Genomic DNA, 12118 nt, shown 5'->3' on the forward strand with positions numbered 1-12118 from the left:
CGCCACTGCACTCCAGCCTGGGCGACAGAGCGAGACTCCGTCTCTGAAAAAAAAAAAAAAAAATCACTTTGGAGCTCCCAAGCATTACATCCTCACCAGGCCATGTCCAGGCCAGGAAGGGAGGGGTGTTCCCATCCCGCATCTTTTAGGTATTAACGGAGATGTGCTTTGCCAAAAGTTCCCAGCGGAAGCCACGTCCGGTCCCGTCAGTCAAGAGTGAGTCAGCTGCCTGTGCTCTGCCTGCACGCTGAACTGAGAGTTTGGGTGTCCGGCAGTTTCAACGTCGGCATCACAGTGTCAGTGCTCCCACCAAGAGGCTGAATGACTGCTAGGGAGGCAACAACTCACTTTTATTTATTTATTTATTTTGTAGAGACGGGAGTCTCACCATGTTGTCCAGGCTGGTCTCGAACTCCTGAGCTCAAGCAATCTGCCCACCTTGGCCTCCCAAAGTGCTGGGATTACAGGCATGAGCCACTGTGCCAAGCCTAACAACTCACTTTTGAAAGTCCCGCAGGAGATTCCACAGGCACGAGTGACTCCAAAGAGCCCTTGTTTTCTAGCAGCCACAGAAAGCATGTGTGAGGCCAGGCATGGTGGCTCACGCCTGTAATCCCAGCACTTTGGAAGGCTGAGGTGGGCGGCTCACCTGAGATCAGGAGTTCGAGACCAGCCTGAGCAACATGAAGAATCCCCGTCTCTACTGAAAATACAATATTAGCTGGGCGTGGTGGTGTGCATGTGTAATCCCAGCTACTTGGGAGCTGAGGCAGGAGAGTCACTTGAACCCGGGAGGCAGAGGTTGCAGTGAGCTGAGATTGTGCCATTGCACTTCAGCCTGGGCAACAAGAGTGAAACTCTGTCTCAAAAAAAAAAAAGAAAAAAGATAAAAAGCGTGTGTGATGAGAAGATCTGGGGGCTAGGGTGGTGGTGTGGTAATGGGGTGATTTAAAAAAACCTTTTGACTGGAGATCTAGAATTCGAACTAAGCCAGGAACACATCCTCATCTATAGTGCTTCCAGGGCATCCATGTGACAGTTTGAATTGTATTCCCTCAAAATGAATATGTTGAAGTCCTAATCCCCAGTACCTCAGAATGTGATCTTTGCAGAGGTCATCAGATCACTAGGGTGGGCCTTTGTCCCATATGCCTGGTGTCCTTATAAAAAGGGGAATTTGGAGACAGACAGGTACACAGGGAGACTGTCATCTGAACACGAAGATGGCCATCTATAAGCCAAGGAGAGAGACCTCGACAGATCCTTCCCTCATAGCCCTTAGATGGAACCAACACTCCTGATATTTTGATTTTGGACTTCTAACCTCCAGAACTATGAAACAAGAAGTTCTGGGCTGGGTGCAGCCTGACCAACATAGTGAAACCTCCCTCTACTAAAAATACAAAAAATTAGCCAGGCGTGGTCGTGGGTGCCTGTAATCCCAGCTACTCGGGAGGCTGAGGCAGGAGAATCTCTTGAACCTAGGCAGCAGAGGTTGCAGTGAGCCGAGACCATGTCATTGCACTCCAGCTTGGGCAATAAGAGTGAAACTCCATCTCAAAAAAAAAAAACAAACAAAAAAAACAGTTCCTTTTGTTTAGGCCAGGGGCCCTCAACCCCAGAGCCATAGAACAGTACCATAGGCCAGTTAGGAACTGGGCTGCACTGCAGGAGGTGAGCAGTGGGCAAGCGAACACTACTGCCTGAGCTCCGCCTCCTGTCAGATCAGAGCTGGCATTAGATTCTCATAAAAGCACAAACCCTATTGTGAGCTGCGCATGTGAGGGATCTAGGTTGTGGGCTCCTTATGAGACTCTAATGCCTGATGATCTGTCACTGTCTCCCATCATCCCCAGATGGGACTGTCTAGTTGCAGGAAAACAAGCTCAGGGCTCCCACGGATTCTACATTATGGTGAGTTGTATAATTATTTCATTAAATATTACAATGTTATAATAATAGAAATAAAGTGCACAATAAATGTAATGTGCTTGAATCATCCTGAAACTGCCCCCCCCCTTCCCTGCTGCCCCCGATCCGGGTCCATGGAAAAATTGTCTCCCATGAAACTTGTCCCCCTGGTGCCAAAAATGTTGGGGACCACTGGTTTAGGCCACCCGGTTTGCAGTACTTTGTTAGAGTGGCCCTGGCAAACTTAAAAACCCTGACTTTCTCACTTCTCTTGCACCCTCCAAGGTACCAGCCCCATGCTCCTACCCAGTATGCACCTGGCTCTCCCTTGTGTTTCCTGATCTCCAGGTGGTCTCTTTGCAGTGTTTTGAAAGCTCTTTTGATAGTATCTCTTTCTTGTCATGAAGCCTCCTGGATTCCACAGAGAAAATGTGCTCTCCACTGTTGTGTCTGGGCAGAAAACCCCCATAATTATTAAATCCATTCCCTACAACATTATATGGGGTTTTATAAGTCATTCATAAACATACAATATTTTAATTCTGCTGCCATATGTTTTGTATAAATAGTCATGTTTATTTACAAAAGAATGTTCTATTTAGCTGTCAACCCATGGATGGCAGAAAAAATGTTTCATATTTGTGTGTGTGTGTGTGTGTGTGTGTGCGTGTTTAAAGCACCAAACATAATATCCAATGATTTTTGTTATGACACACATGTTCTTTCAGGATAGTGTGTGATAATCAAGTTGTGCTTTTATTTATTCAACTGACATTTGAATCACTTTCCCTGTACCTAACTATCCCACCATGGGCTGTCGTTACTAATCTGAATTTAAAGAGGTCCCTGGTGTCAAGGAGAGCCTGGCTGATTGTGAGAGAGGCAGACAATACAAGTGAAGAAATAGTGTAGCTATGATGGAGACATGAGATAGTGGGATGACTCACAGTGATGCTTTATGAAACCCAAGGGCCACAAAGCTTCAGGAAGTAGGGAAGCAGGAAATGAACTACCAGGATGCAGACTTGCTCTTCATCCCTCATTTTCCCATTTCACACTTTCTTTTTTTTCTTTTTTTGAGACAGAATCTCACTCTGTCACCCAGGCTGGAGTGTAGTGGTGTGATCTTGGCTCACTGCAACCTCTGCCTCCTGGGTTAAAGCGATTCTCCTGCCTCAGCCTCTTGAGTAGCTGCAACTATAGGCACGCGTGGCCGCACCCAGCTAATTTTTTTATTTTTAGTAGAGATGAGGTTTCACCATGTTGGCCAGGCTTGTCTCGAACTCCTGACCTCAAGCGATCCTCCTGCCTCTGCCTGCCAAAGTGCTGGGATTACAGGTGTGAGCCACCGCACCTGGCCCCATTTCACACCTTCTTCCCTCTGTGGCTTCTCTCTATTTCTAGGGAGAAACATGACAGAAGTCAGCTGCTCTAGAATCAACAGACTCCTCTCCAGTTGGCATCCCACCATACAGCGGTGGCGTCATACGTTCATACATATGCTGCAGCCAAAGGGGGAGGCTCATCAACCCAGGAGGCACCCACAGGTGCCTCTCAGAGGTGATGAAAGAGGAAGTGGGGGCAGGCAGAGGTAATGGTTGTAATTTGAGTCACTTCTGTTAACTGTACCCACTTTTAGACAGCTTAATCCACTTTGACTCTGGAAAAGTGTGAACAGAAACCTTGCTGGGTTTGGAGGAGAGACAGCCTCCCACTGCTCTTCCCAGGGGAGTCCTGGAACAGGCTGCCGTGGAGGCTCAGGGCAGGCCTGGAGATGTGGCGCTGGTTCAAGGCCAGACCCGGCTGTGTCAAATTTGGATGGACTAGGAAAAGTTCCTGTACAGAAATAACAGAGACTGGAGATTATGTGTGGGAATTATTCTACTCTTATCCTGAGTATGTCTGTACTTCAATCCTGGTGCTCACTTCAAGAAAGAGGAGGATGGGGTTGCCGTTGCTCTCAAGAAAGAGGAGGATGGGGTTGCCATTGCTCTAGCAGACTACTGTTACTCCCAGAAGCTCACTTAAAGGTTCCATTTCCATAACCAATTACAGAGCAAATGCTTTTTCATAGGAATTGGTCTTTGCGGGGTTGACATTTCAGGTTGCAAAGACCCCGAAGCTTTAGGAAAGCTGAACTTTGCCGTTGAGAAATTTAGGAGGGTAGAAATTGCAACACTATCTTAGCTGCAATTAGCTGGCATTTCTGCCAAGCGCTAATACATATTTCACCCTAACTTCCAGTGAAGGACGACATTGATAAGAATATTTGGGGAGTAGCTGTGAAAGTTCATCTGGTTTTAATAGGGAAACATTGTCCTTTTCTCTGCTGATTGGAGAGCAGGTCAGGCATGAAACTGGCCTCACCCAGGAAAGACTCACATGGTTCATTCTCTCTCCAGGAATGGTAGGGAAAGCACGTGTTTTGAAACACTGGGTTTTCCCTGGCCCGGGAGAAAGTGGATCAAAAGAATCGCTGTTTTCTCCGCTGTTGTTTGGGTTCTCTAGTTTGAAAGGGTCATGGTGGTGTCTCCTGATGGGCCATTAAAGGCAATGTTGAGGAGAATAGAGAAAATACATGAAGAAAGAATAAGGAAAATTGGACATTTGGTAGAAAAGCCCAGGATTCTCTGGAGAAACGTTGGAGGTAGTGCCGAGAGAGTCTGCTGCACCAGAGGTGCCCCACCAGGGGCCCCACCAGGGGACTCTTTAAAAGAATGTTCTTGAGCTAAATTCCTGCCAACCTTCCCATGTAGCTGGTGCAATTTTCACTCCATATTCTGCTTTCTTTATTTTCTACCGCAACTGAATTCTGAGTTCCTAATCCACTGGGACTCACACTTAATAGCCTGTCTATCTACTGGCATTTGTTTGCATTGTACAAGTACAACCAAAGGCTATAGGCTTTTGGGAGCCACAGTCAGGAAGAAGTCTATCTGTCTGTCTCTCTGTTCTTTAGACTTCAGTCTTCTTACACCCTTTCCAAATGGCAACGGGCACAAAATGGCCTATCTGCTGGAAGTGGGCAATGAGCAAAAGAGACACATACATGGAAACAATGAGTTAAGAATTTAAAATATTATTCTGCACACACGTAAGTGGGAACTTCATGTCCTCTGTTCAGAAGTAAAGCAGTTGGAACCTCTGGAATCAGAATCATCTGTGCATTTGCTAAAAATATAGATTCTTGTGCCCTACCCAAATTCTGCACCCGAAAATTCTGATTCTGCCTGAATCAGAATCTTTCCAGGCAATTCTTATGTGCATCAAAGCTTGAGAGTTGCCTAGACGCAGCCTCAGCTGAACCATCTACTGTGTTTTAATACTGAGTTGTGCTTGTTCTCAAGCTGGTTCAGAGCACTTTAATGTGCATTCAAATCATGCTGAGGTCTTGTTAAGTTAGGTGGTGGGACGTGAGATTCTGCATGTCTAACAAACGCTTGGGTGATGCTGCCACTGCTGGTTGGAGGACCACCCCTTGGGTGGCAAAGTGCTAGAGAGACTATTTTTATTTCCTTTGCACTCCTGTGAGGCCATCTTGAGGCTTCTCAAGTCCCTGGGGCCAGTGATTTGCTTGCACTGGGATTGGAGATTGCTGCACCCTCATGGGTACTGTGCTTTGTTGACTGGGCTCTATCTCATGCTCATCCAGATTTACCCTGCCTTCCTGCTTCCCCTTCCATCTCCTCAGCCAACACCCCTATTCCCACCCTCACTCTTCTACCCCCACTCTGCCTAAGGGGCAGCCCTGCTGCCATAGCCTGGTCTTCCTCACACTGTGGGTCTACTCTGACTATAGATACATAATTGAATATCTTTAGATAATCTTCAGATTTGCTAGTATGATAAAGTCCTTCTTCCTCCTAGGAGAAAAGGGGAAGTGGGACTCGAAGCAAGCATGTAAAATTGAGTCAGGAGTTCTTTTTTCTCTTTAGGGCCACCATCAGTGGGTGGCCCCAGTGTAATGGAATGGAGTGGAAGATGTTACCATTTCCTACACTGTCCTTGACCTTGAAAGAAGAACTGAATCTATGGGACCTACTGCCACTTTCTATAGGTGGAGGGGAAAGGGGAACCCCGTTGCATGGCATAAGCTTATCCCTCAAGTCCTTGGTGAGCGGGGGTTGGGGGTAAGAGGGAAGAATTACAGGGTGTTAGAAGTGGTGAGATTCTTTTCTCCAGTCATGGAGAACTTCTGATATTCAATCCAGAATGGCTTTAATTGCTACTAGTTAACAATAAGAAAGAAGGTCTACAGTTGAGGTCTAGGGAAAGACTGGCTTGTAGTGCTCCTCAGGCTTGCAGTCACATTGAAAAGTCTAATGGTGGCCAGGCGCGGTTGCTCATGCCTGTAATCCCAGCACTTTAGAAGGCCGAGGTGGGCAGATCACCTGAGGTCAGGAGTTCGAGACCAGTCTTGCCAGCATGGTGAAACCCTGTCGCTACTAAAAATACAAAAATTTGCTGGGCATGGTGGTGGGTGCCTGTAATCCCAGCTACTTGGGAGGCTGAGGCAGGAGAATTGCTTGAACCCGGAAGGCGGAGGTTGCAGTGAGCGGAGATTGTGCCACTGCAGTCACATGAGATTGTGCCACTGCGGCAGAGCGAGACTCTGTCTCAGAAAAAAAGAAAAGAAAAGAAAAGAAAAGTCTAATGGTTAGAGTGAAGCCAGCCATAGCCAGTGGACTGTCATGACAATAGATACAGATAAAAATTCCAGACTGTACAGTTGTTGACTGTGGCTCTGGGCCAGAGTAAGATCTCTTAGGCCTGGGAAAGTAACCATAGATGTCACTGGCCCTGAGGCCAAGCAGAGCCAGTACCTCTCAGAGCAGTGGCTTGCAAACTAGGGTCTGCAGAAAGCTCTTTCAGCATCACCGGGGGAGATTCATAACAGCAATGCCAACACCCACCCTGAAGAGTCTGATTCAGCAGGGCCTCATGAGCTATATTTAAAAAATATATTATATGGGCAATTTAACAGTAAGTTAAATTGCAAGTTTTGACTTTGTCGGGTTTACGAAGCAATGCCTTAGCACAATGGTTTCCCAAATTTTTAGCAGAGAAAAATTTATTAACTAGAAAAATATTTATTGAACAATTACTGTATGCCATGTATTGTTGTAAGCCCTGGACAAAAAGTGGTAAATAAGACTGACGAGGTGGCTGGGCACCTGCAATCCCAGCACTTTGGGAGGCTGAGATGGGCAGGTCACTTGAGGTTAGGTATTTGAGACCAGCCTGGCCAACATGGTGAAACCCCCATCTCTACTAAAAATACAAAAATTAGCTGGGCATGGTGGCGTGCGCCTGTAGTCCCAGCTACTCGGGAGGCTGAGGCACGAGAATTGCTTAAACCCTGGAGGCGGAGGTTGCAGTGAGCCAAGATTGCACCACTGCTCTCCAGCCTGGGTGATAGAGCAAAACTCTGTCTCCAAAAAAAAAGAAAAGAAAATGACTGACAAGGTTTCCACTGAACTCTAAGACAGATAAAAATGAGGAGCGGATTTTTCAGGAATGTTAAACACTCATTGTTTAGAAGAAAATACTGTTTGTTGTTGAACCCCTGAAGTACCATCAGGTTCTGTGATGCACAGTTTGAGAACTGCTTTCTTGGGAAGGAGCTTAGAGCAATAAAACTATAAGATGGCAGAAGGAATGTCCAACACAGTGGGGTTCAAATGACAAACCTGGAAGCCTTTTCCACTTCCTCGTTGATAAAGTGGAGACAATGACATCTACCTCAAGTCTTACTGTGAGTAAGAAAAGAACTGAACACATACATTGTGGAGCTCAATGTTGGGTGTGCAGCTGGACCCTGCTGCATTTTTGTTCTCTTTCGTCTGTCTTTGCTTGGGAACAGGTCACTTCACTTTGATTGGGAGTAAGTTTGAGGAGAAAACAAGACATTCCTGGAAGCGTGTTGCCACTTGAGGCTCAGGTGGGATAACGAGGAGCACAAAAGGCAGAAGCCAAGAAAAGGCCCCACCATGCCACAGCCAAAAGCAACCACAGATGTAAAATGGCACAGTGGATCTGGCAGTTCTCCTTAAAACGTTAAACACAGAGTCACCATATGACTCATCAGTTCCGCTGCTATGTATATACCCAAGAGAACTGAAAACGTATGTCTGCACAAAAACCTGTACATGAAAGTTCAAAGAAGCGTTATTCATAATAGCCAGAAAGTGGAAACAACCCAAATCTCCCTTAACCAACGAATGGATAAGCAAAATATGGTATACCCATACAGTGGAATATTATTCAGCCAAAAAAAGAAATGAAGTGCTGACACACACAACAGCATGGGTGAACCACGAGAACATTATGCCAAGAAAGAGGCCAGACATGAAAGACCACATATTATAGAATTCCTTTATATGAAATGTCCAGAATAGGAAAATCTATAGAAACAGAAATTAGGCCAGGTGCAGTGGCTCATGCCTGCAATCCCAACACTTTGGGAGGCTGAGGCGGGTGGATCACCTGAGGTCAGGAGTTCAAGACCAGCCTGGCCAACATGGCGAAAGCTTGTCTCTACCAAAAATACAAATATTAGTCGGGCGTGGAGATGTGTGCCTGTAGTCCCATCTACTCAGGAGGCTGAGGCAGGAGAATGGCTTGAACCCAGAGGCGGAGGTTGCAGTGAGCCGAGATCGTGCCACTGCATTCCAGCTTGGCCACAGAGCGAGAGTCTGTCTCAAAAAAAAAAAAAAAAAAAAAAAAAAGAAACAGAAATTAGATTAGTAGTGTCAAGGCACCAGGAGAAGTAGGAAATGGGATGACTGCTAATGCACATGGAATTTCTTTTTGAGGTGATAGTGGTGATAGCGCTACAATCTTGTGAATATGCTGAAAGTCACTGAATTGGACACTTCAAAAGGGTGAATTTTATGGTACATAGATTCTCTCTCTCTCTGTCTCTGTTTTTTTTTTTTTTTGTTTTGTTTTTTTTTGAGACAGTCTCACTCTGCCGCCCAGGCTAGAGTGCGGTGGCGTGATCTCTGCTCACTGCAACCTCCACCTCCTGGGTTCAAGGGATTCTCATGCCTCAACCTACTGAGTAGCTGGGATTACAGGCACTTGCTACCACACCTGGCTAATTTTTCTAATTTTAGTAGAGACAGGGTTTCACCATATTGGCAAGGCTGGTCTTGAACTCCTGACCTCTAGTGATCCACCCACCTTGGCCTCCCAAAGTGCTGGGATTTACAGGTGTGAGCCACCGCACCCAGCCCATATCTCAATTTTTAAAAAGAAAAGAAAGAAGCAACCACATAGAATGAAGCCAACCAGTGATCCGTGGATAAGCACTAAGAAAATGCTCAAAGCCTGTCATGACTCTGATAGAACCCACAGGAGAGGGCAGAAAGAATATCCAATATAGTGGGCTTCAGATGACAAACCTGGTCAGGTTTGAGACTCTGCCTTTCCTTGCTGGGGCTTGAAGAATTTACCAGTTTCTCAGAAAAGATAGGCAATGAACAAAACTACGCCTGATATGCTTCTAATCATCATTATTTTCAGTGCCACGTGAATTGTTTACATATGCTTATATTTCTGCTATAATGATGGTTTGGTAAGTTCTTTTTCTTTTCTTTTTTCTTTTTTTTTTTGAGACAGGGTCTCACTTTGTCACCCAGGCTGGGGTACAGTGGCACCATTATAGCTCACTTCAGCCTCAACTTCCTGGGCTCAAGCGATCCACACATCTCAGCCTCCTGAGTAGCTGGGGCTATAGGTGTGTGCATGCCACCATACCCCGCTAATTTTTAAAAAATTTTTGTAGAGATGAGGTCTCACTATGTTGCCCAGGCTGGTATTGAACTCCTGGGCTCAAGTGATCCTCCTGCCTTGGCTTCCCTAAGTGTTGGGATTACAGGCATGAGCCACCGTGCCTGGTCAGGTAAGTTTCAAATATTTCAATTTTTTCCCCCCAAGACTCGGTTCTAGAAGGTCCATTTAGGCTATTCAAAATACAGCTCTAGGTCCTTGTGCAATGTGGGCTGATGATCTTGGGGGACTAGAAATGCCCTGCACATTAGCCCCCGGACAACCAGCACAGTCGCCTTGACTGGGCAGAGCTTCTTTTTTTTTTTTTTTTTTCCGAGACGGAGTTTGCTTTGTTGCCCATGCTGGAGTGCAATGGTGCGATCTCGGCTCACAGCAACCTCTGCCTCCTGAGTTCAAGCAATTCTCCTGCCTCAGCCTCCCGAGTAGCTGGGATTACAGGCATGTGCCACCATGCCTGGCTAATTTTGTATTTTGAGTAGAGACAGAATTTCTCCATGTTGATCAGGCTGGTCTCGAACTCCCGACCTCAGGTGATCCACCCGCCTTGGCCTCCCAAAGTGCTGGGATTACAGGCATGAGCCACCACTCCCAGCCTTGGGCAGAGCTTCTTGAATAAGTCTTACAGGCTCCTCTAGGGTGGGTGAGAAAGGTATTTTTGGGAGAAGCCACTTGAAATTTACATGCTGTGCAAAAATGTGTTATGGGGACAGAAGGTGTTTTTAAGCTGAAAAGTTTGAATCATTGGTGGGAATAAAGGCCTGCCAGTGAATTGTGGTTCCACTTTCAGCCTCGTCACTGCCTTCGGGTTTTCTCCTGTGAATGGTTCTGACAATGTGCCATTTTACAGAACGTGTCTCTGTTGCTTCCGAGCTGCCACATATGCTCTGCTGCACATTTGGGACAACCACATCAGGTTTTAAAAACTAATTAAAAAAAACCAAAACTTTTCAAGTTTGCCTTTAGCATTTTGCAGCGAGGTTGCTCACCAGCTGTTTGTTTATACTCTCTGGTGATTGTTTTTGCACATTATCCATGCATAGCATGCAATTACACCATTATAATGGCAAGTAGTAAACTGAATTCCCTGTAGGGCGTTTCTAGGGGAAGAGATGTGCTGCCTGTAGCCCGAATGCCCTAAAGAGACTGTATAGTTAGATAATCCTGTGGCTCCAGATAAGCGTGGGTCCTACGGTAAGTTGCAAAAGCCTAGGGCTTTTTGCAGCCCTTGGCAGGTGTTTCGTAGCAAATCTCAAAGTTTCGTGGTCACTCAGGACAACCTCCTTTCTGCTGAGATCGACACTGAATTAAAACAAGCCCAATGATCTGTTTATAATTTAGAACCTCATTTGTTCTTTTTTTTTTTTTTTTTTTTTTTTTTGAGACAGAGTCACTCTGTCTCCCAGGCTGGAGTGCAGTGGCACTATCTTGGTTAACTGCAACCTCCACCTCCTGGATTCAAGCGATTCTTGTGCTTCAGCTTCGCAAGTAGCTGGGATTATACATGTGAGCCACCACACATGGCTAGTTTTTGTGTGCTTTAGTAGAGACCGGGTTTCACCATGTTGAGCAGGCTGGTCTCGAACTTCTGACAGGTGATCCGCCTGCCTCAGCCTCCCAAAGTGCTGGGATTTTAGGTGTGAGCCACCGCGCCTGGCCTTTGTTCATTTTTTATGATAGCTTTATTGAGATATAATTCATACCTAATAAAAGTTATGATAAAAGTTACCCCCCCTTTTTTTTTGAGACAGAGTATCACTCCTGTCACCCAGGCTGGAGTGCAGTGGTGCAATCATAGCTCACTGCAGCCTTGACTTCCCAGGCTCAGGTGATCCTCCCGCCTCAGTCTCCTGAGTAGCTGGGACTACTGGAGAGCGCCACTACATGCAGGTAATTTTTTGTATTTTTGTGGAGACATGGTTTTGCCATATTGCCCAGGCTGGTCTTGAACTCCTGGGCTCAAGCGACCTGCCTGCCTTGGCCTCCCAAAAGTGCTCGGATTACAGGCGTGAGCCACTGTGCCCAGCCAAAAGTTAACCTTTTAAATTATAGGCATACCTTTTTTTACTGTGCTTTGCAGATACTGTGTTTGTTTTTTACAAATTGAAGGTTTGTGGCAACAAACCTTGGAGAAAGTCTATCAATGCCACTTTTCTAAACAATGTGTTTTTTTGTTTTTTGTTTTTTGTTTTTTTTTGAGACCGAGTCTTACTCTGTCACCCAGGCTGGAGTGTAGTGGTGTGATCTCGGCTAACTGCAACCTCTGCCTTCCAGTTTCAAGTGAACCTTCCACCTCAGCCTTCTGAGTAGCTGGGACCACAGACAATTATCCATGCCACCATGTTCAGATAATTTTTTGTATTTTTTGTAGAGATGGGATTTTGCCATGTTGCTCAGGCTGGCCTTGAATTCCTGA

At 45.9% G+C, this 12118-nt stretch overlaps 1 long non-coding RNA gene across 3 annotated transcripts in view, besides 3 other annotated features; it reads left to right on the forward strand.

The window, feature by feature from the left end:
* The window catches only part of LOC124900954 (uncharacterized), a 65808-nt gene that overhangs the window by 28857 nt on the left and 24833 nt on the right, over positions 1-12118 (forward strand). The gene's annotated exons all lie outside the window — the stretch shown is intronic.
* Positions 3128-3337: an enhancer, noted in NCBI's record as "active region_22447". NCBI's record gives its function as "activates an Ori minimal core promoter by ATAC-STARR-seq in GM12878 lymphoblastoid cells {active_cell/tissue: GM12878}" and the evidence as "EXISTENCE:reporter gene assay evidence [ECO:0000049][PMID:35858748]".
* Positions 7595-7794: an enhancer, noted in NCBI's record as "active region_22448". NCBI's record gives its function as "activates an Ori minimal core promoter by ATAC-STARR-seq in GM12878 lymphoblastoid cells {active_cell/tissue: GM12878}" and the evidence as "EXISTENCE:reporter gene assay evidence [ECO:0000049][PMID:35858748]".
* Positions 8165-8224: an enhancer, noted in NCBI's record as "active region_22449". NCBI's record gives its function as "activates an Ori minimal core promoter by ATAC-STARR-seq in GM12878 lymphoblastoid cells {active_cell/tissue: GM12878}" and the evidence as "EXISTENCE:reporter gene assay evidence [ECO:0000049][PMID:35858748]".

Source organism: Homo sapiens, chromosome 5 (assembly GCF_000001405.40).
Source record: "Homo sapiens chromosome 5, GRCh38.p14 Primary Assembly".
Lineage (NCBI taxonomy): Eukaryota > Metazoa > Chordata > Mammalia > Primates > Hominidae > Homo > Homo sapiens.